The following is a 24,829-nucleotide window of genomic DNA, read 5'->3' as shown; positions in this document are numbered from 1 at the left end:
AGTGGGTTCTGCACATATGGGTATTTCAGATCTGGTGTTACCTGGCTGGCTACGTCACACTGGGCAAGGCCAACCTAGAAAAGGTTATATGGGATGCCCCACCTAGGTGTGCCCTACCTCAGTTGCTACTCCCTCTATGGTGGCAGGGAATCTGGTGTCCCAGGGTGGAGCTGTGGTGGGGCCTGCACTTTGGGACAGCCACTTGCACCAGCAGGTAGGGCTGAGCAAAGGAGCACCTCTGGGTCTCACTCACATGAAATGGACCTAGACCTTTTTTTGTGTTGGTTTCAGTCAGTAGAGCATGTGATCCCCTGTGATTTAAAATCCTGCTGCTGTGCGTGTGATCTTGGCTGGGCCAGCCTGCTAAGTGATGCCACCCAGACAGGCCTGAGAATCATCAGGAGGGTACAGGTTCTGCCCCAGTGCTTGCTTGCTTGCACGTGATCTCTCCCTCCCCACCCCACTCTCTCTCCTGTGCTTGCTGAGCAGCCTTGGGCATGTTCCTCAATTGTGTGTTTTTCCTACTTGGAAAATGTGCAGCCATGAAATCAGACAAGATCTCTGTTTGAAGTTTTTTGCTTAAAAGGGGTATCTGAAATAAGAAGTTCTGATACTGTTGTGTGGCTAAGTTAAATAATCCACGTAAAGTGCTTGAGCACAGCGCCAGCACAAAGCACCTGCTCAGTGAACAGTAGCTCTGCCTAGCAGTGCAAAGAGAGCCAGCCCACTTCTGATCAACATTAAAATGCTGGAAATAGGGACAAAACCACTGATAGACTTCATAAGACTCTAGAATGAATTAATTAATCTTTACAAATAACTATTTATTGCTATTCTCTACTGGTCTCTAGGAGAATGATATTTGAACTAGAAAATCTTCAGTTTCTGCTCTATCTCTAGTTCTCTGATAATATAATGAAATATAAATTATCCAAAGAAGCAACAATCCAAAAAACTTCTGAGCCTTAGGATATATTTACCTTCCTAATTTTTCCTGTCTTTACTTAGGACTCAACATGTATATTAATAATGTATATCTAGCCGGGCGTGGTGACGGGCACCTGTAATCCCAGTTACTTGGGAGGCTGAGGCAGGAGAATTGCTTGAACCCAGGAGGCAGAGGTTGCAGTGAGCCGAGATCCTGCCATTGCACTCCAGCCTGGACCACAACAGTGAAACTCCATCTCAAAAAAAATAAAATAAAATAAAAAATACTGTATATCATTTTCTGAGGACATTTTTCAATGAGACAATGTGTGTAGCATTCCTGGCACATAGTAGTGTAGCAGGACGAGTCGCAGAGAAAACTCCTCAGACACCAGATTAAAGAAGGAAGAGTTTTTTTTATTTGGCCAGGAGCATCGGCAGACTCATGTCTTAAGAGCCGAGCTCCCCGAAAAAGAAATTCCTGGCCCTTTTAAGGGCTTACAACTCTAAGGGGTCTACATGAAAAAGTCATAATAGATCAAGTAAGCGTGAGGAACGTAACTGGGGGCTACATACATCAGCTAACAGAACAAAAAGTTTTACAGTGCTTTCTCATACAACATCTGGAATTTACAGATAACACCAGTAGTTTTGGTCAGGGGTTAATATTATTATTATTTTAACCACCAGGGCCAGGTGGTGGTGCCAAGGTCGTCTAGCTATTTATCTTACTTCTGTTTCTTTCCAACTTTTTGCTTTCTCCCTTTTCTCCTGTCTTATAAACTAGGGAAAAGGGGAGGTTGGGGAGAAACTGGGAAGGACAACAGGAGAAGTGGTGGCCTCATACCATAGTAGCTGCTTACTTAATTATGACTAATATAAGGAGGTATAGGGAAGTGGCCAGAAATATTAGGAGCAGAAAGTGCCATGAATTCAAGTAGGCAAAACTGATAACCACTTTATCAGGCAGCCCAGATTTTAAGTTCACACTGGCTCTGGAATCAGACTGTTTGAGTTCAAATTCAGCCACAACTTACAATGCATGTTAATCTCTCTATGCCTCAGTGTCCTCACCTATACAATGAGACAACAATATGAGAATTTCATAGAAAAGCTGAGACACAGAAATAGCATAATAACTGACCTTTAGTGAGCAGCTGCTTCATGCCTGGCTCAAGTGAATGCTTACATTCTCTTTCAAGGGTTAACCTTAAAGTAGGAATTCTTAATCAAAAGCCACAGACCCTGCAACTGAATTTGAAGTTCTGTGTCTGTATACGTTTTTACTAAACAGAACATCCACAGCTGTTGTAAGACTTGCAAAGCCATTTGGGTCTCAGGAATAGTTAGGAGTCACTGCCTTCCAGACATAGCCGGGACAGGAGTTTTGGAGTTGGAAGATCTGTTAGAGACTGTGCAGACCACCATTCCCAAACATCCTTGAAGGGGAGGATCACTTGGATGCCTGCTCATGACAGAGTTCACTCCTAAACATTCTCATTCGGGAGAGCAGAGTGGCTTTTGAATGAGCACTCCGGGGGCTACTCACCACAGGCAAGCCTGGGAAACTGATCCCACCCAACCTTCTCATTTCACGGGTCAGGAAACAGGCCCATCTCACAGGTCAGGAAACAGGCCCAGAGATAAGGACAGCTCGAAACAGTTCCCACCCCACGTCAGTCAAGGGCCTCCCTTACCTGTAAGTTAAGTCTTCACCCCGTCTGAACAAAGGAAGGGAAATGTCACTCCTTCCCACAACCCCAGTTCACACAAGGAGCACTCTGAAAACAAAATCGGGCTTCTCTTAGGAGGAGAGTAAGAAGTGCAGCTGGCCAGGCACAGTGGCTCACACCTGTAACCCCAGCACTTTGGGAGGCCAAGACGGGCAGATCACTTGAGGTCAGGGGTTTGAGACCAGCCTAGGCAACATGGCAAAAACCCTTCTCTACTAAAAATACAAAAATTAGCAGGGCATGGTGGCGGGTGCCCATAATCCCAGCTACTCAGGAGACTGAGGGAGGAGAAGCGCTTGAACCCGGGAGGCAGAGGTTGCAGTGAGTTGAGATCGCACCACTGCACTCCAGCCTGGGCAACAGAGCGAGACTCCATTCCCACCCCCGACCCGACCCCCACAAAAAAAAAAAAACAGTGCAGCCACCTCTGTGTTAGCTGCTTAAATCTTAAGGAAGCCTAGACCCCTGTTGACACAGGATTGCAGATACCTCACTCCAGCCAGCGGGCGGGGGTGTGTCCTCCTACACACACACACACACACATACACACACACACCCTCTCACATTTCTCATTGTATGCAGCATTACTATTTGAACAGCTGACGCTATTCAGCGATCACGTTCAGGTAACAGCCTGCAAAAATGTAAATGTGTTGTCCCACTTCCTAAAGCCACACACTAATTAGACACTAACCAGGGGACTTGACAGGGAATTTCAGTGGTGCCATTTAGTTGTGTGAGCCCCATAGTGGGAAATACTTCTTTCCACGCAGATCTCAGCAGGAACTGAATCTGAAGCAAGAACAGGGCAGGCAGCTGCCTCAGCAAGAGTGGTTATCAAAGTTATGCTTCAAAAATGTCCATGTTAAATGTGACACCCAAAAATGTCAGCTCCAGAATAATCAGGCAAAATTCAGAATCATCTGTTATTGACCAGTGAAATTCTCTCCAGGCTTACCAAGGGCAGGCAAGGATGTGCGTGTTTCTTTGGGTTTTTGATGTTCACCGGTCGCAGAGTCCTGATGTAGTAAAAAGTTGAAATAACCTCCCCAAAGTGAGTTGGGCATACCCCTCACGTACGAGGCCAGCAAGCAGTTTTTCCAAGGTGGCAGGTAGCAGCAGCTCCATTTCACTGAGAAGACAATTCTAAAAAGATACAGGTGGCCTGCTCAGACCTGTGCTTGACCCTGAGTTTGGGCAGCAAATCAGCTTTTCCATATTTACCCCTCTATTATTTTTTATACTCTTGGGGCCTGTGGATCCACGTGAATTTGCTTGGCTGTTTAAAACACATCAGCCAGGATGAAATTGTCCTCTTTTACCTGGGTTTCAGAGCAGGCACTGAAGCGCGGGCTACAGATGTGTGGGTCTGCTCACAACATTGCTGGCCACAAAAATGCGCAAATGCCTTTGGCATTGTATTTCCAGGAAAGAAGAAGTTGATTATTCCAATTTGCTTCTTACTTCTGAAAGCAACACAAACATACTCATTGTCTTTTTTTTTTTTTTTTTTTTTTTGAGAAAGAGTCTCACTCTGGTGCCCAGGCTGGAATGCTACAGCGCGATCTCAGCTCACTGCAAACTCCGCCTCCAGGGTTCAAGCGATTCTCCTGCCTCAATCTCCCGAGTAGCTGGGATTACAGGCATGTGCCACCACATCCAACTAATTTTTTTTTGTATTTTCAGTAGAGACGAAGTTTCACCACGTTGGCCAGGCTGGTCTCGAACTCCTGACTTCAAGTGATCCTACCACCTTGGCCTCCCAAAGTGCTGTCATTATAGGCGTGAGCCACCGCACCTGGCCCTCATTGTCCTTTTGATAGGTAAATGAGGGAAAGAAATGCCAGTGTGGAGAATGTTATCTGTGTAAAATCAGAGTTCTATTACCACTAACACACCAAGCACAATCCTTCCTGAGGAACTTTGCAGTTGCTGTTCATCTGTTTGCAACTGTCTCCCAGTCTCTGCATGGCTGGCTCCCTCACTCACTAAGGCCTTCCCTGACCACCCAGTCAAAACTAGACTGGAGTTACTTGCCATCACAGCACCCTGGTTTATTCTTTTCACAGCACTTGAATATACGAAGTCATTTTAGAAAGTGTTGTTCATTTGTTTATAATTTGCCTCTAAGGAAATGAAGACTCTGTCTTGTCTTATTCACATCTCTCTCCAGCTCTGAAAACAATCTTTGGTATAAGATAGGTGCTCAAATATTTATTGAAATAATGAATGAACACTAACGTTTTTACAGAAGGCTTTTTCAGTTCATCACATGAAAATTTCAGCTGCTTCCATACGAAGCAGCTTAGATCTGGGAGGAAACTCAGCTCAGGAAGTGAGGCAGGATGTGAACCCAGTCCCTCTGCACTCCTCAGCAGCCATGTGACCCCAGGAGAGCTCAGCCTCTTGGTTAAGAATGTGGACTCTGGAGCCAGCTCCACCACTACCTTGCTTTGTGATGTTGGGCAACTCATTTAACATCTCCACACCTCAGTTTTTTCATCTGTATTTGGGGTGAATAACAGTGCCACCCTCACTCATTCCTTGTAAGAGATTCCAGAATGCATGTGAAGGACTAGCTATTCCAGAATGCACTGTGAGCCAGGCACGACACTAAGAGAGGTTAGGTTACTTGTTTGAGGCACTTAGTGGATAAGGAAAGAGTTGGAACCACTGGAACTCCAGTCTACACTGCTGAAGTTCACTCTTGATCACAGGGCTCCTGCCACACAGTACTCACTCAACAGATGACTGTGGCAAAACATTTCCACACAACTAATGTCAATATTTGGGCTAATGGAGTCAGGAAGGTGCATTGCCAGTGCCATTCTTGTGACTAGCTTTGGTCTTTGCCTGCTGAGGGTTGATGCAGCAGAGTGAGCCCTGAGGAAGCGGGTGGCGCGCCGGGCTTGGGCTCTCTCCTGATGGTGTGCATGGTGCAAGGTGAGTCATTTGACTTCACTGGGTGGAACTAGATGATTCCCAATGTCCCTCATAGTCTTCTCTTCTAAGTCCTGGTGATGTACTCTTTATTTCTTTAAGAACTCTCCAATTTATTTGTTCAATATATGAAAGGGAAAGCTATTTGCAAAGCACTATTTGTTGACAACAACTCACAGGGAAGATTGGGAGCGGGGTTCTACAGCAGCTTCCAATCCGTACCACTGAGATGGACAAGCAGAGGACTGTAAGAGACGGAACCTGAGCTCTGCAGTCAAAACGAACAAAGTAGTCTTGAACATGTGACTTCAACTCTTTGGATTTTGATGTTCTCATGGGTTTATGACAGTCTGGAGACAAAACTTTTTAAAGCAGAGGCCCTGATCATAGTCATCTGGTATTTAGGAGCAGCAGGCCCACATGTGGACAGAGTCAGCTTGCACTGAACAGTGGGTTCCTGCCTCTGCTGTGTGTGCTGGGACACGAACTTTCCAATACCTGGGTTATGGAAGGGAAGCAGACACCTTGTTTCCAGATGCTGGCAGAAGCCGAATGTGCTTTTGTGTGCTGGTTCGGCTAAGTGACTCCTTGAGCATCTCTAATCTCCCTTTGGGGAACTTGTTAAGCTCCTACAAATATTCTGCCAGGATTTCGTCTCTCAGCATTAACCTTGATTACCGGGCTTCTGCCTCCACGTATGGGAAACTGAATGGACTTGATTCATGATCCAGCACCAGGACACTGAGTGAAGGGCACTTACCTGAGCCCTCTGGTGTGAAAAGCCACAACGCATAGAGTGTGGAAACTAGCCTGAAACCCTATTCCCTGCACCATACTTCAGAGGGTATGTCACATTCTCTTACTCATGAAATAGCCTAAGAGTGGGTTTTCCCCCAAGAGGAAAGAGGGTGGAGAAGTGGGTACAATGAAATGGATGTTTGTGTCTCCCCAAAATTAATATGCTGGAATCCTAATCCAATGTGATGATATTAGCAGGTAGAGCTTTTTGGGGTGATTAGGTCATCACGATGAGTTTATTAGTCATTAGTCATGAATAAGTCCAGTGCCCTTATAAAAGGGACCCCAGAGAGCTTCCCCCTCCCTTCCACCATGTGTGGACACAGCAAGAAGTCAGGAGTCCACAACCAGGAAGAAGTCTTCACCAGAATTTGACCACGCTGGCTGGCACCCTGAACTTGGACTTCCAGCCTCCAAAACTGTGAAAACTAGATGTGTGTTGTTTATAAGCCTCCCAGTCTATGGCACTTTGTTATAGCAGCCCCAACTGACCAAGAGAGTGGGAAAAGAAAGAACCCTACATGGACAGCTACAAAGAGATTTGATGTCACTGGGTAGAATCAGACAATTCCCAATGTCTCCGCATATTCTTTCCTCTTCTACTCTGAGTATTGGTGATGCTAGGTAGAAGGCAATAGCTGGGGTCCAAGATGAACATACATTCTCCTAGGAAGTTTTTGACAATAACAATCCCTTATATTTGAGTAGCACTGTTATAAAATGTCTTCCTACAGTTTCTTATCTGATCCCTGAAAGGCACTGTGAAGAATGGAGCATCGTGGGCTAAATTCAGGTATGGAGATGAGCTCACTGAGACTCTGCATAGTTAAACCACTGGAACACAATCCCCCAGCCAGCCGGTGGATGGGAAGTTGAGAGTCGGATCCAGGTCCCGCATGCATCATTCTTTCCATGTGGAATTACTCAGTAGTACCACTGCCTGCCAGCCAGTACTCCAGAGGTATTTTGCTGTTGCATGTAGGTCCCAGAAAGGTGCTGCAGGGCAGCAAGGACACTGGGCTGGAGGTTGCGGTCTGCAGGCAGGCAGCCAGGTGGACGCTGGCTGATGGAGTCAGCATCGTGTCACCTAGACACATCTGCCACCAGCCTTGCTCCCCGGTAGCCCATCAGAACACCCTCAGACAGGAGAGGCACAGGTAAAGGGAGGAGCTCGTAAGGGAACCCCACTGTTTTCAGCCTTCTGTGGTTGGACTTGCACATGCATGTGTGGTATGACTGGCATGTTTCTTTTTTCTAAAACCTAAAGCTCTAAAACGAGATCCCATTAATCATGATGGGGCCAGAGGTGAGGTAGGGGACAGCCTCGTCTGAGGCCTCACCCATCCCTCAGAATGAGAGGAAACTCATCCAGTGCCCCTCAGCCCTTCCCTGAGAGCCATTTCAGGTGGGGCAAGAGAGTACTGAGAGCTTTTTACTGAAGAAGCAGAAGAATATAGGTTATACATGTTTTAATGCAGACAGAGAGAATTAGCATCTTAAAGAAAAAAAAATCCACATGGAGGATAAGTTAAATTCTTATGACACATAATTTGAAAACTGACAGAGTAATGGCTACACTTCTAAGTATGCTATGTATTAAAAAGATTCTGACAAGGGCACTACTGAAACGCAGCCTTCCTGTAGAGTTCAGTGTCATCAGGCACCTTTGCTGTGAGGCATCCTCCTTCACTATTATTTCTTTCCTAGATGCATTTGATTGCTTAAAGTAATTCAAATAACAACGAGGTCTCAGATTCCAATGAAAGGAGAGCACAGAGAAGTTGCAAAGGCATAAAGCTTTGTATAAATTCTTTACAAAAGGGTTTTTGAGGTTGGCTGCTGCTTACCACTATAGAGAGAGAGTGAGTGAGAGAGGTACACACACACATATATATGTATATCCCAATCACTATTCAGAGAGGCAGTATTACTACCTGTTGAGAGCATGAACCTTAGAACCAGACTGTGTGGGTTTCAATCCTGGCGCCTCCTCTTGCCGGCTGTGAGACCTTGGGCAAGCTACTTAACCTCTCTGCGCCTGTTTCCTTACCTGTAAAGGAGAGATAATGGTGCATTCCTCACGGGGTTATTAGGAAGATTAGATGGATTAATACATGTAAAGCATTTAAAACAGTGTCTGGCACACAGCCAGAATAGTGCCCTGGAAATAGCTGACTGCTTATTGCAGCTTTCTGAGCATTACGAGATTCTGATGCTGTTTCGTTTCATCCAGAACAAGTTTGTCAATTTCTCTAATTACATTCTGAAGGAATAAAATATTGTTGTAGATAAATCTTGAACAGCTATACTATGAGAATCATTTGTGATCTGGGCATGGGGAAGGGTGAAGGGTTAAAAGGTGCTCGACGGCAAAGAGGGCCTCCTGGAAGTCCAGAACAAACTGCTGTTGAAGCAAAGCAGATGGAGAATCCCAGCCTTTGCCATCCAGGGTAATGGAGGCAGAAAGACCACCAACAGTGGTTGGTATGGGATTTTTAAAAATTATTTTGAACCCAACTAACCCCACAGAGAGATTTGTGTTTTCTTTGCAAATTGGACGAAGAACCACCAAACGCCAAAAGGAAAGTGAAAATTCCATGGCTCAGGATGCCTTTTGTCAAGTTAGCCCACATTTTCAACTAATGTGTCATCCAAGAGGTGACTCCTACCTCTGTTCAGTGTATTATGTACACAAGACAAATAACAAGACACGACCTGTCACAAATGCTAGAATGAAACCTGCCAATACACACATCACCAGTAATTGCCTTTGCAGATTATTGCTCCATTTCCACTTTCTCCCACAGATGCTCCAGCTCTGTGCTTCTGAGGCAAAGCCAGAGCCCAGTTCAGAGCTTGCGGAAACAAGAAACCTCAAGAAAGTCTTGCAGGAACCAAGAGAACACTGGCATCAACGCAGTCTGACTGCATCGCAGAGCTGCTGTGTTCTGGGATCTGTGGGGGTCATTTCCCATTGATATTGAAATTTGCTTTGTAATCTGGTTCTTTCAGACAACTGCTTTCCCATCTAAAACACACAGGCATCAGCTGAATATTCAACCACCACGTTTGAAGTTTACTACATAAGTCACTTTTAACAATCTGATATCTGGAAACTTCTTCAGAGTTCTTGGGAGAATAACAATTTCGAAAAAGATGGATAAGACAGCATAAAAGCACACCATTTGCAGTGCCCTTAATTACACATTCACTTGACATCTATCCTTTACATTTTTAATCAATTAAGGGAAAGAGGTTTACTGTCTGGCTCTCATGCACCATTAATCAAACCAAGCACAAGAATGAGGATGCTTTACATACACAATGTCATGCATGGTCACACGATTCTAGTGTCCTAAGGTAGGGAAGTCTCCTTGTTATGAGAGCAGAAAAAAAAATTATCCTGTGTCCTGGCACTGGTTAGCCCCCAAAGGATTCATGCTCCGGTGTCCTCTCACGAGATCTCAGACCTGTACATTAACGCTATGAATCAGTAGGTTAAACAGGAATATAAACACCCCAATCCTCAAAAGATGCTGATAATCTTTCAACATATGCAAACAGGGCTCCAATTCATTTGGTGGAGAATTAATGCCGTTCTCAGGCAAGAAGAAATTCAGATATTCAGTGAATACACTGCTCTATTGAGCTTTCAGTCAATCCTACTTTTTAAAAAAGCTAATAAGACACTTTTTTTTTTACAACAGCTGCTATCTTTTCAGAATTGAAGTGACAAATGTCAAGTTTTCTTAGTTCTGAAATGAAAAAAAAATTAGAGCAGATATTTAAGCAAAGTAAAAGCAAAAATGGTCAAGGTTGACTTTGCTTATGCTGTGTATTGGGGCACCTGCTCACTTGAAGTGAACTCTTTTGAGGCCAGAAAATGGCTCATCCTCACACAGGCACTGACATCTCCAATGACCATACCTTCAGGGTGGCTCAAATAAGGAGAAACAGACCAGCCAAAGTTTAATTCAATTTTATTTTCCACTTTTAGTATTTTTCAAATTATACAACATGCAGTCTGCCAGAGTACCCATACATCTTCATTTTAGAACCTAGAAGATTACCAAAATTTTCCGTGGGCCAGAGGAGGGTGACTTCCAGATCTTTTGTTACATGGACTATAGTACAGCATCGTTATTGATATAAACCACCATTCTCCCCTCAAACCCCCCGGACAAGTTTGTCCACAATTTTTTTAATGTGAAAGCTACTGTACAGATACATAAAGCCCAGAGAACACACATCTGCAGTACACAGGACACACTTTACAAACTAGACATGTATAATTCTACAGAATGCCCTATTCCCCTTATATCTGCACACAATGAACAGTATTTAAAACTGATACACAATTTTTAAATAAGTAAGCAGACTTCATGGAGCGGCGCTTACTTCGGCAGTTATCCAGCCATTATTCAATGCTTGGTTTAAAAAGTCTAAATTGTTAGTGTTAAATGAAGCAATTTTAGATTATGATGGTTTCTTTAGCTTGCTCAAGATTCTGGGCTAGACAATGAAGTGAAATCTTCCCTCCACCCTCTGCCTTTCCCAGTATGTCATATAGCTAGAGTCCAAATGTCTCCTGCCCTGCTTTAAAAAAATGCACTTCGAAAGAGGGGATTGTTAAGAACTTTTATTTGCTTTGTTATTTCTATAAGAACTAGAGCTTCTTTATGTAAACGTTAGGGCTTTAAAAAGTCACTAGATGCTACATTCTAGACAAACATTTTTATTTCTTCATTTATCCCAATATATCTATAAATTCTGATTTCTTAATCACGATTCTATTTCCTTTAAAAGTCTTAACGCGAAACTGTTATTGTTCTGTCTACTACCTGCTGTTTAACAAAAGCAAAGTGTGCAGCATTTGAAGAGATGATATGTTTGCACAGAATTCTCTAGTAATTGACAAAAACACATTTGGCATTATATATTTTAGTTCCCAGACATAAATCTTGATATCTCAAACAACATTCTCCTAATTTACCAATCCACCATCCTGCAGATAAAGATTATTCATATAAACCATCTGGCTGTTCTCTTAGAGCATCAAAGAGTAAACTTTCAAGAAGTAGCATGAAATATAAAATTATTCATAGAGGAGAAAAAGACACAATACATGCTAGTCAAAAGCTGCATATAACCAAAATCATATTCATGAGCTTAGTTGTTCAGAAGTGTGGTTTTTACATTTAAAGTACAGGGAGCAATAGTCTAAAAACCTGAAAATTGCACATATGTGGCTTTTTTAGAAAGTGGCCTACAGAGAACATGGTCCTGATATAATAACTGGCTTATTATACATAGCAATATTTAAGGATCCATTTGAATAATCCGTTCCAATAATTTGCCTCCCTTTTAGTCACACTATAGGAAAATTAGATTAGAAGTCCTATAAAGATTGAAGCTAGGTGAACTGACTGGCTGATCAGCAACTAGCAGAATTATCTTTAAGAGACATCAAAGCCAACTTTCTCTGTGAATAAAAGTAAAGCAAATGTTGTCAGTCCCTTGTAGAGATCAAGTAAAATGGAACTACAAGCGAATGTTTCCCTTTGAAACATGAAAGTGCCAAGCAATTCTTTAGAAGTAGAAACGGGGTACCCAGGGAAAAATCACCCTGGAAAGAATCTAAAACAATCTATTTTATGATGGATATTAACAAGAGCCAAAAACCATTACTGACCTTTGTTCAATTTCCAAACAAAAAGTAATGGAGAGTAGTGGTAATGACAATTAATAATTGGCAATCCTCTCAAACACCAATGTTTAGCTTCCCAAATCAGAAGCAAACATATCAACAAGGTTATGTGGCATATGTTATTACCTGATAAGCTTTGCAAAACCTGCCCCACAAGGACCCTTTTATCAGACCGCAAATAATGGTAGAGCAGGTATATTGGGCTGGCACTGATAACAAAATTAAAGAATGAAAAAAATTTAAACAAATGCAAAATTGCCATCTTCACAAAATAAATACTTCAATAGAATTTGTCGTCCTCTCTCTCCTTATTCCCCACCAAAAACAAAACATACATAAACAAAGTGCAACATTTAACAAATAAATTAAGTCAAAGCAGGTTTGCTTTGCTAGGGAAATTTTGTACAAGAAATGTTTGGATGTCAATGCACAGTTCTTAGCACTTTACACACATACACACACACACACACACACACACACACACACACACACACACACACTTGAGCTACCTTCGACCCACACAGTCATGAGAAAAGCCCAAAGTCTCCCCTGGCATATATTTCATTACAGTGGTGAAAGCTTCAGGGCACAGTGCCAGCTCACTCATCTTGGGCACACAACATGATAGGATAGGAGTTTCCACCGAGATTGGTTTGGTTGTCATTGACTTACCCCCAAATTTGTCAAAACAAATAGCAGCACAGTCAGTTTCCCTGAAAACTTTACTACTTGGAAATTGATCTTCTTAATAAGCACAACTGGAAGTAAGGGTTGATTCAGCTTTAGATTCATGTATTTGGATAAAGCAATAACTAAATGTAAAATATCCATCTATGTGGATTTTTTCTAATTGTGCCTAAGAAGATGAAACCTATTTGGTGCCAAAGAAAGAATTCATATAAACAGTCGCCAATTATGGGTTAAAATAATAACTTATTCATGGCAACTTACTCATACACAAGCACAAAGAACAAAATTTTGACAAGCACTTTCTCCCGAAGGCTTCCTTTTTCAACTGCTGGAATGATGTTGGATTTCTTCAGCAATACCCACTCAAGCTGAAAATGGTTAGAGAAAGCAGCCATTCCCAATGCAAGCTTCAGAACGATCAGAGAGGAAGTAGTGAGGAGAGGGGCAGCCACATTTCCACTTATCCAACTTTGCAGCATTTTCAGCACTTCTGAAAGAACGATGTTCAAACCGGGCCGGCTAAGACTAGTTGCTGCAGGTTCAAAAGCAAGCAGCTCGGAGGTGAATTTTATGACTTTTTGCATTTACACAGATGTATTTGAATGAACAAATTCTACACTGCTACTGTCAGATTGTTTTTCTGCCCCAAAGAAATTTGCTTTGCATTTTAACAGGTGCCATACTAAAAGGTATATTTTACAGATCCAAAGATGTGACCAGGATATTCAAAATGTGTCTTTGGGGTAATTTGTTTCGGAAAAGTGTTCAGAAGGAAAACTTTGAACCCTATAGCAGCACTTTTTGTTCCCTAAAAATATAAAACAATGTGTTTATTTTACAGGAAACCAGACAGTTGAGGCAGACCATGATCATCTGCCTCCACGGCACTTGGTTGTTCCCCTCTAGGGAATGGCACATTAGGGCGTACAGATGGGACAGTGCACTGCCCAGAGGAGGCTCCAGGAACCACCCAGAAACCACCCAACACCCCGGAGGCCGAGTCGGTGGTAATGGTTCTCAGTAGTAAGTGGATCTTCTGCAACCATCTCCTTCAGATTTCTCAAAAAGAGAAAAGTCCGAGCACACATCTGTACACACAGAAACTCTACACAGCTCAAAAGACCTGAAACTGGTGTACTGCAGATGGCTGGAGTAAGCAAGTATAAAAAAAAAATGGAAACTGTAGGGGGGGAAAAATAAAGGAATTGGTGATTAATGTAGTCCTTGACATGCTACGTGGAGTCATATCTGTTGAAAGAGAACCAAAGAGAGAACATAGGAATTAGAAAACACAGTAGAAATTTACTCCTCAAAAAAGTTTTGTTTAATTCTAGATGTTTAGACCAGAGCTGTCAGATACAAATATAACACAAGCCACATATTTTTTGTTTGTTTGTTTTTGAGATGGAGTTTCACTCTTGTCACCCAGGCTGGGGTGCAGTGGCGCGATATCGACTCACTGCAACCTCTGCCTCTCGGGTTCAAGTGATTCTTCTGCCTTAGCCTCCCAAGTAGCTGGGATTACAAGGGTTTGCCACCACACCCGGCTAATTTTTGTATTTTTAGTAGAGACGGTGTTTCACCATGTTGTCCAGGCTGGTCTCAAATTCCTGACCTCAGGTGATCCACCCACCTCGGCCTCCCAAAGTGCTGGGATTACAGGTATAAGCCACCGTGCCCGGCCAAGCCACATATTTAATTTTAAATTCTCTAGTGGCTACATTAAAAAGTGAAAAGAAATAGGTAAGATTAATTGTAATATATTTTATATAGCCTAAATAGTATTTCAACATGTAACTGGTATTACATGTTGAGATCGTTTACATTACAATATTACTACTGAGATTTTTTTTTTCACACAATAGTGTTTGCAATCTGGTGTATATTTTACACTTTCAGCCCATCTCAATTTGGACTTAGCCACATTTTGAGAGCTCAAAAGACACATGTGGATAGTGGCACATGAACAGCACAACCTCCGATTTCCTGATTTTGCTTTAAGTATTTAGTCCTGACAGTCTCAACATTCTCTTCCATAAGTCGGTATCTGTTGAGGCTATGGATATTCAGAGTAACATAATGCATTTTCTCATTCCTAGGGGGAAATTAAAACATTTCTCATTTGCCTGCACTTAGGATAGCAAGCAGGTGCAACAAGGCCCCTAACCCAGACTCTCTGTAGAAAGAGGTTCCCAGTTCCCAAAGGTATGCTTCGTCTCCATCGGATAATAAGATTCTCCAAAAGACCACCCCTGTCCATTTCATTCCACTTCCCACCAGAAGTTCGGCTGGTGCTGGGCGCATCTCCAGGATGAACGTCTAGACCAGCCTGAATGGCCTCTGTCAGCCTGCACCCAACATCAGTAAGCTCAACTTTCAGAAGACACTGAAAGGCTCTGTTTCCTGTCACCGGCTGGAGGCCCTAGCTCTGAGATCTTACTATAGGTTTTGTGCAGAGCTCATGGTACTCTAGGGGATGGGGACAGGGATGACAAGAGGGAGGTAGAGCCTTATCCTTAAGAAATACATGGAATTACCTGGTACTGGAAATACAACAGCCACTAAGAAAAGCCCAACTTCTCTTTTGATTAAAAAAAAAAAAAAAAAAAGCCCTCTGTAACCTGACACATTATGCATTATGCTTTCTGTTTTGCCTCTAGAAGGCTTATATCAACATTTGGTGCTCAACTGTGGTAATATCTCAGATTCCCGCTACCATGCTCTTTTTTTTCTTCACTCTTCTGATTTATATGTTATAATATTGTAAGCAACCTCACATATTTTGCATAAATCAGCAGGATGTAAGTTACATATAAATAGAAAAATTCTCAGTCTAGAAAGGGGTTATTAAAGCAGATACAAGCAAAGTGGGTGAAAAAGGGAGAAGAAATACGGAACAGAAACTGAATAGAAAAAAAAAAACAGAACAACACATTCTTTTTAAAAATACCACCTCTTGGCCAAGTGCAGTGGCTGATGCCTATAATCCCAGCACTTTGGTTTGGGAGGCCAACGCGGGTGGATCACTCGAGGTCAGGAGTTTGAAACCAGCCCAGCCAACATGGTGAAACCCCATCTCTACTAAAAATACAAAAATTAGCCCGGCATGGTGGCTTGTATGTGTAGTCCCAGCTACTTGGGAGGCTGAAACAGGAGAATCGCTTGAACCTGGGAAGCAGAGGTTGCAGTGAGCCGAGATCATGCTGCTGCACTCCAGCCTGGGTGACAGAGTGAGACTCAGTCTCAAAAAAACAAAAACAAAAACAAAACCACCTCTTCACTGACAAGAAAAAATATTCACAGAACTCATTTGGTATAATCACCCACAGTGGCAAAGCTACACAACTAAGAAGGGCTTAAACAACCCTAGAGGGTGATATTTCTGTCATTTTTAGAAGTCACAGAGAGTAAGATGTCTTTGGGAAGAACATGGCCTTTCTGGTGAAATTTTGGGCTTATTGCCAGAATTAGAAGTGAAAAACCTAAAAGCATGGTCATAGTTGTTATTTAAAATGCATTCTGAGCTGAAAACCAATAGGAGTGCCTGCCTGAATGCCACCACTGAAACTGCCATTTCACTTTCTCACAGGTTCATTTCTCCACGCACGCTATCCCCCTGGTCAGATAAGATCCCCTTGGTCGGATGAGATGGCCGTTCTGCGTGCCTGGAGGCAGAGAGGTGCCAGCACATACCTTGGATTGTGGGATTATGGCCTGACGCAATGTTTGCAGCCAAACCGTGTTGACACAGCAAGCACTAGACACAAATGCAATGGGGCGGCCTCAATAACTCCAGCAGACCATAAAGTGACACAATTTCCCCCTGGAAGGCCTCTCAGTCAAAGCCCCCGATCCCCGCTGGGCAAGATTCAGCAGGTTTTGGCTCATAGTTTGGAAGAAACACGGGGCCACAAAGGAGGCCCCACCTGCTTAGTTTAGTCACCTCAAGGAGAGTGAGAAAGGAGAGGAAAAGCACAGGAACTCTGCCAATGAAGGGTCCTTTCTTTACTAGGATGCAGCGTTCCTCTTCATCCCCAGTTAAGGATCTCTACAGGCCTGTCTGCTGAGAAGTCTTTCCAGCAGGCCCAAGAAACATGGATTCCAGCAGGATGCTCTCATCCATCCTTCCCACTATCTGGATCTTCATATCCTTAGATAAATTCATGGGAGAAAATAGATATAAATTTTAAAGGTAAATGGTTTTGCCCTGAGATAAAGCATTTCTGTCTGTTCTAATCCCAGAGAGACTGAGGAGTCTGGAGAATCTTTAAAACCCAGTCCTGTTGACTCTCTTCCAAGTAGCCACTCACTCACTTAGAGGCAGGGGACTGGACCAACTGACCTGCTCTAGGACTTCCCCTGGCACTCTGCCAAACTGGAGATGGTAATTCAAAGTGGCAACGTGTGACCAGATTTAGGAGGAAATAAAATCACCTTTCTTTAGAAGGGGTGGGGAAAGCTAATGAAGGAAGTTAATTATACAAGGGTTTTGCAAGAAGTATTTAGAGACCGTTTTCACACCCAACTTGGGCTTTTGCAATTGCTTGCAGTGGATTTAAGCTTAATCCAAACAGTACATAGTTTTAGTTTTTCTTTTGCCTTTTTATAATTCAATCCCCACATTATAAGAATTACCAATTGTACTCTACTTATCACTGCTGAATAGAAGTGGATTTATCTCATTGGAGCTTTGGTACAATCTGCTGTGGAGGAACAATTTTAGTTGCTCTGAATTTATGACTCTGAGAACCATGAAGCTGAGGAGTATTAAAGTGGAGGAGCCTACTGTGCTGTAGATGGAATCAGGAATTCTTGCCTCCGGGTGCTCCACAATTCCCTTCTTTGGGTTGAGATTGCCAGTTTCAAAGTCCTCTGCCATAGCAGCACCTACCTACAGTTATTTCTGTCCTCTCTCCCTGCAGTCCCACCTCAGCTGTCTTTTCAGGTCTGTCCCCATGACCACTTTAACATTAGCTAACATGCACGGGGGCCTAATTTTTGCCAGGTATTCTTCTAAGACTTTTTTCTCTCTTCTTTCACATTCTCTCATTCAATCCCAGACAAGCCTGTGATACGGGCACTATGATCCCAACTTCCCCATTCCACAGTTTTCTTAGCTGTCCAATGGCCAAGAATCTTGTCTGGTGTGACAAAGGGGGATTATCTTTATATACTTCAACCAAAACAGCACACCGCAACAGACAGAATGCAGAAACAGCTGGGGGAATCCAGCTGCCATCTATTAAATAACCAGGCATCAAAGAGATTTGCAAAAATGTAAAACAATGCCATTTGGCTATTTTTTGTTTTGAAAATAGTTATTTTCATTACAAATCACATTTGTGGTAACATGTATGGGCTTATTACTATTTTTTAAATGAACCCGGCAGTATTCTAAATATTTTGCTTTAATTTCTAATATGATACATATCAATAAATATAACCCATATATATATATATAAACTCATTGATCCTTTTTTGTTTGTTTTTTTGAGAAAGATTGTCATTCTGTCACCCAGACTAGAGTGCAGTGACACAAACATGGCTCACCACAGCCTCAAATTACTGGGCTCAATTTCCCACCTCAGCCTCCCAAGTGGTTGGGACTACAGGCGTAAGCTGCCATACCTAGCTAATTTTTAATTTATTTTATTTTATTATTATTATTATTGAGACAGAGTCTCGCTAAGGCTGGTTTCAAACGCCTGGCCTCAAGTGATCCTCCTGCCTTGGCCTCCCAAAGTGCTGGGATTATAGGCGTGAGCCACCATACCCAGTCTATTGATCCTTTTTAAGAGGAGAAAAGGTCCTAAGGCCAAGAACTTTGAGAACTGTTGCAGAGAAGATCATCGCTCTTAGCCCAGGATCTACCACTCATAGTTATGGGATCTTGACAGCTCATCCCGCCTCTTTGGGATGTAGAATGAGGAGACAGGATCAGGTGATGAGGACAACACAGATGAGCACGGAGTGCTTGTTCAGTGCCAGGCACTAGGCTAATCTTCATGTATTTGTTTTTATTTGTTTATTTATTTTTGAGGTAGAATCTCACTCTGTCACCCAGGCTAGAGTGTGGTGGCATGATCACAGCTCACTGCAGCCTCAAACTCTCCAGCTGAAATGATCCTCCCAGCTCACCCTTCCAAGTCACTGGAGCTACAGGCATGCACTACCACACCTGGCTAATTTTTTTATTTTTAGTAAAGACAAGGTCTTGCTAAGTTGTCCAGGCTTGTCTCAAACTCCTGAGCTCAAGCCATCCTGCTGCCTCAGCCTCTCAGAGTGCTGGGAGTACAGGAGTGAAAGAATTGAGTCACACCACGACACACAAAAAACAGGCATCCCAAACTCTACAAGAAGCAACGCACTCCGGGGTCGCATTGCACCTAGCTCTTTATTTTCAGAAAAAGCCCTTCTTTCATTAAATTATGTGAAGTTTGGTGGTTTGGACTTTTTATTTGTGGTTTTATTTCGATTTAATTTCTAAATTTGTTTTGACTTGACAGTTGTATAAGATCTGTAAGTAGGGAATGTATACTGTTTACAATGTGCAAATTGTATTATAATAAAATAATTTAAATCAACTCTGGGGATCTGTGAGAATTGTATTCCTTTCAAAATACTCTATTTACTACTCAAGTTTGAGATAAAATGGTCTAAATATAGGAAAACCAAGAAAAAAGACCATTCTGCCTTCCGTCTTTCAGAAAACATCTAAGGTTTCAGCAATGCCCTACTGGCGCCATCTGGTGGAGACATTTGAACAAGTCCCCTGGCTTGCCAAAGCACTGCCTGGAAAGGAAGTGGATCTCCAGGGCTCTCAAAACGAGGGAGCTGGGCAGATGTTTAATCAGGTGTCTACATTAAGTGTGGGGCTGCAAAGAAGACTCAGCACTGCCTGAGAGGTTGATTTTACACCGTCTCTGGTCTCAAGAGCGAGACCCTGCTTCCTCCCTCTCTCTCAGCTGATCATCTGGCTTCTTGCCTGCACGAGAAAACAAGCTCTAAGGTGACCTGGATCTTGCCTCCCAATGCACCCCATCTACCGCCCACCCACAGCTGTGCTTCCTCCTCTGCCCAGCTCAGCTATACCATCACCATCGCACACAACTATGCTGTAATATCTCCCATCTTACAACAGAAAAGCAACGCAGCCCCACCTTACCACCACATCGCTCCATTTCTCTGATCTCCTTCAAATAAAACCCCCAAAGTGGGTTCAGCTGCCGGCTCTATTTCCTCACCTAGTCTGTCTAGTCCATGCTAAGGTCACTGCCACCTGGCCTTCTTCAACCACCCAGTCTCTGTCATCATCTTACTCAAGCTCTGAGCTGACCACCTTCCTTCTAGGGTCAAGGTCTTCACTTGACCTCTGTGCCCCCACATGATCCTCAGGCCCCTCTGCTGGTGCCACCTCTTTTCTCTGGCCTTCCCATTTTCCAGTGCCTGGGCCTGGTCCAACTCGCCCCTCAGCTCCCCTCTCTGCTGTGCCCACCTTTTCTCTAGGTTGCCTCCTTCAGACCTGTGGCCATAAACACAATCTACAAGTCACAACTCTCCAGCCCTGGCCTCACCTCAGCCTCTCTCCTGTGCTCCAGACCCACGGATCCAGCCACCTGTTCCACACACCCACTTGCGTGGTGGGCTCAGCTGGATGTCTGAGAGGCAGCACATAAGCAACATGATGGAAACCAAGCTTTCCCACAAAACCTGCTCATCCCCCGATTTTCCCTGGCATGGTTAAAAAGGGACCAATGTTTCCCTAACTGCTAGAGCCCACAAAAATCTAGGAACTACCTTGATTCCCTTCCTTCCTCCTCTTCTTGCTCTCAACCCTCATCAGTAAGCCTGACAGCTGAATCAGCTCTAAGCAGGCACTGACTCAGGCCACTTCTCCCCTGCTGCCACCACCTGGGTCTGGTACCGGACCCTCCCCCATGGCCACCTACAGTGACGCCCTAGGCAACCCCCAGTGCTTACCCCATTCCTACCCCTTCTTCAGGGTCCAGCCCAGAGTGGCCTTGTCTAATCATGAACCAGCTCCCACTGCTTCCACGCCCACAGCCCCAGTGGCCCCTCACACTAGGCTACAATCTAAGTTGCCCACAGCTTCAACACCTTCATTTACTTGGGCTCAACTCCCTCCCCATCCACTCTAATGAAGATGGGTTCTCCCAGATCCATGAGCTACTGCCTTATCAGCCTTGGTAACATTCCTCAAATAACCCTCATTCATTCCTACCTTTGAGTGATCATCGAACCACTTTCTCCCAGGTTGCTGTGTGCCTGGCATTTTTCATCACTCAGTTCTCAACTTAAATGTCACCCCCTCTTCTAAAACAGTGTTCCTATTCCATTAGCCTGTTTTTGTTTTCTTCTGAGCACTTACCACTACTTGAAGTTACCTTATTTTCTGTCCATCTTCCCCTAACAAGCATATCACTGGACAAGAACACAGCCTTCTTGTCTGATTCACTGTGAAACCAAGTACAGAGCTAGGCTCTCAATGCCTGATCCCACTTAGCCGGTAGGAAACCTAAAGCTGACAGAAATCAAGTAACTTGCCCAATGTCACATGGTTGCACTGCACTGCCCCATATGTAGCTCTGGGGTTTGAAAAAGATCATCTCCTCCTGAGGCAGCCCCCTGTGGATTTGAACCAGATAAGATCAAAGCCAGCATTATCCTGGGTTCTTTTGATTTTTGTATATTGGCATCTTCATAGGCTCTGAAACCTTGAGAATAAACCAAAATACTCATTATGGCTATAATTCTTGAACCCTGAAATGAAGCAGAAGGAAATTCCAAAGATATCCAGCTGTAAGAATATGTGCTTTGACTCCACAGGAGGGCTGGGAAGACACAATTGAGATCATTTCTACCCAGGGAAGAGATACTTCAGAATGAAAATCCCAAAGGTCAGGAAAGACTGTCTCAAAAAGGCTTTGCTCTCATCTAAGCAATGAATTCCATATTTTCAATTACTTTTCAAAAAGGATTTAGCATTTCTTTACTTTTCAATTGCAATTCCTGAATCTGTTGATTACTACCCCTTTTTAATCTCCACTGACAAATGCCCAGTCATTTCTTAAAAATAGTCATAGCTTGTAGATAAGTAAATTATATATATATGTTTTTTAGATAGGCTCTCACTTTGTCACCTAGGCTGGAGTGCAGTGGCACAATCTCGGCTCACTGCAACCTCTGCCTCCTGGGTTCAAGCAATTCTCCACTTCAACCTCCCAAGTAGCTAGGGTTACAGGTGTGCATGTCTACGCCCAGCTAATTTTTCTATTTTTAGTAGGGAAGGATGTTTCACCATGTTGGCCAGGCTGGTCTTGAACTCCTGACCTAAAGTGATCTGCCCACCTCAGCTTCCCAAAGTGCTGGGATTACAGGCATGACCCGCCATGCCCGGCCAATATTATCTTTAAAAGCCCTTATGTCAGTTCATAGCAACAACTAGGATACTCAGTTAGAAATAGGCCTTCCCTATCCAGTCGCCAGGATTTATTGCTATAGAGGAACTAAAAACCATTTAGTAACAACTATATGAATTAAAGGACACTATAAACCAACATGTATCAACTACCACCTTCTGCAGTGCTCATCTATACTAGCAGCTAACATTTTTATTGAGCAATTGTTATGGGCTTAGAAGCATGACCTCATTTAAGCCTTCTGTCAATGCCAATGACCAACATAAAAGATTTTCCCCATTTCATATATGAGGAAACAGACCTGAGTTTAAGTAACTTGAAGGAAGTGGAAGACCTAACACCTGAACCCAGGTCCCTTGTCCAATGCCAGTCCCCTCAGCCACACTGCCATCCTGAGAGCTGTAAGAGGGGGCCTGTTTATTTTGTAACCTGGTGAGAGAAGCACCTAGTTACAGAAGCTGTGTCTGAAGCTGTGTGGAGAAGGTATGTCAAGGAGGCTCTGAATTCAGATAAAACCATCAAAACCACTTGTAACACTTTGAGTAAAGAAACAAATTGCCAGCTGGGTGCAGTAGCTCACGCTTGTAATCCCAGCACTTTGGGAAGCTGAGGTGGGGGGAATCACTTGAAGTTAGGAGTTCAAGACCAGCCTGGCCAACATGGTGAAACCCTGTCTCTACTAAAAATACAAAAACTAGCTGGGCATGGTGGCACATGCCTGTAATCCCAGCTACTCGGGAGGCTGAGGCAGGAGAATCGTTTGAACCCAGGAGGCAGAGGATGCAGTGAGCCAAGATCATGCCATTGCACTCCAGCCTGGGCAACAAGAGTGAAACTCCATCTCGAAAAGATGATGATGGGTTGATGGGTGCAGCAAACCATCATGGCACATGTATACTTATGTGACAAACCTGGACATTGAGCACATGTATCCCAGAACTTAAAGTAAAATTAAAAAAAAATGCCACAATGGGTGAGGGTGGTTCTTTCACTCCGAAGGTCTTGAAAGTCTCCCCAGACCTACTGATTTTCACTCTTCTGTATGAGAAGAGGCTACACTGGTGATGAATGGCCAGCATTTGGTTGTTTGGAGCCTACATAAAATATGGGACTGGCAGACCTTTGTTGGAACCCATGAAGAAGGTGACTGTCCCACTGCACAATCTCTGGACCCCAGAATCCCTGGACCAGTATATTTAGTAAGGCCTTGCTGGGAAACACACATACACCTCTATGTGTGCTTTCATCAAATGAGGTGATGCCTATATTACATCTAGCCCAGTGCTGCAGCATATTAGGTGGTCCATAATGCACAGTATGCCAGCTGCCCACCTCAACATCCACTCTCCCTGTCCTTGCTCTAAAAGCATTACCTTTCTTTGGGGTAGTGATGTGCCCAGCTAAAAGACTACCTTTTCCAGCTAGATGTGGCCATGTGGCTCAGTGCTGTCCAGGGAAAGGGAGGCATCAGCATTGCATGGGGCTTCAGGAAGGCTACTTAAAGGAGATTCATTCAGGACGGCTGCTTTTGCCTCTTCTCTGCTTCCTCTCTGGTTGCTAAAGTTGGAATGTAGGCATGATGGCTGAAACTGAAGTCATTTGGTGACCTTGAGCTGGCCTTGAGTTCAGGAGGCAGGCACGTGCTTAACCTAGTTAAGAGGCTAGGTTTCTGTTTTCACTGTGGAGATTCTTAACTACTGATGTACCACCTTCAAATTTCCCTTACATAAGACAGACGTAAACCGCCATCCTGTATAAACCATGGAGAGTTTTCAAACTTCGATGAATATCAGAATCACCTGGAGTACTTGGTTAAAAAGACAAACAAAGCCCAGGCCCTTCCTCTTCTAAGGAGCCTGGGCCTCTGGGTGCTCAAGGATGCTCACATCCACCAAAGTTCGATGACCACTGCTTCAGGCTTTTCTGTTCTAAGCTGCCCAGCTGGATCTTAGAGTTCCCTTCAGGTATCAGCCTCGATACTGACAATATGTAGTCAAAAGCAACTTTCTAACTTCCAGTTTCATTCTATTTCTGATTGGAAGCAGAGATTAGATAGGAATGGGGTGGCCCACCGCCAAGACCATTTCCCATTTTCCTGTCTAGAAGATGGCAGATGATGGCAGGCACACTGCCCGCCCGCGGGCTGCCTCCGCCTTCCCTCCTGTTCCCACTACTCTGACCAGCCCCTGGCCTGCTCGTTGGCACTGCCTGGGGCAGCACAGGTAAAAGTTGTGTGGGGGCAACTACCAAAGCATTTCCCTTGGAAGTTTTAGCCTATGCCTGGGCGATGCCGGGACCCTGAGTGATGGCTCCAGCCCCTCCTGCTCACCTTCTTGCCTTGATGCAGAAAGGACTGGATGAGGAGGGGTCCAGGCTTCACACCTTGCATGCTTGCCTGCCTTGGGAGCCAGCTACCCTAGCAAGGGCTTAGAGTCCAAGGACAATGTTCAGAGCCACCTCTTCCCATCTGCATGTTCAAAGTCAGAGTTTATCTAAACAAAGTTTTCTGGTCACCTAGTCATCTGTCTGCCCGCCCAACTAGTAACCTCTTTTCTCCATTTCCATCAGGATGACAGTTTTCGCTCTCTGCTTCT

General features: G+C 43.8%; 1 protein-coding gene across 5 annotated transcripts in view, besides 1 other annotated feature; it reads right to left on the bottom strand.

Moving 5' to 3' along the window:
- Positions 9,136-9,785: an enhancer, noted in NCBI's record as "NANOG hESC enhancer chr2:149883850-149884499 (GRCh37/hg19 assembly coordinates)". NCBI's record gives its function as "activates a minimal SCP1, AML or CMV promoter by ChIP-STARR-seq in naive H9 embryonic stem cells {active_cell/tissue: H9 hESC(naive)}" and the evidence as "EXISTENCE:reporter gene assay evidence [ECO:0000049][PMID:30033119]".
- KIF5C (kinesin family member 5C) overlaps positions 10,362-24,829 on the bottom strand; it is a 151,533-nt gene continuing 137,065 nt past the window's right edge. For 2 of the 5 annotated variants that reach the window (NM_004522.3, XM_011511157.3), the window contains one exon: positions 10,362-14,043. The gene's annotated coding sequence lies outside the window, so the exon portion shown is untranslated. Of the gene's footprint in view, positions 14,044-16,068; positions 16,946-24,829 lie in introns of those variants that run through there. The other 3 variants (XM_017004062.2, XM_047444258.1, NR_111932.2) reach the window with 2 other exon arrangements.

Source organism: Homo sapiens, chromosome 2 (assembly GCF_000001405.40).
Source record: "Homo sapiens chromosome 2, GRCh38.p14 Primary Assembly".
Lineage (NCBI taxonomy): Eukaryota > Metazoa > Chordata > Mammalia > Primates > Hominidae > Homo > Homo sapiens.
The sequence above is the reverse complement of the archived record's forward strand: the minus strand, read 5'-3'. Positions and strand labels throughout refer to the sequence as shown.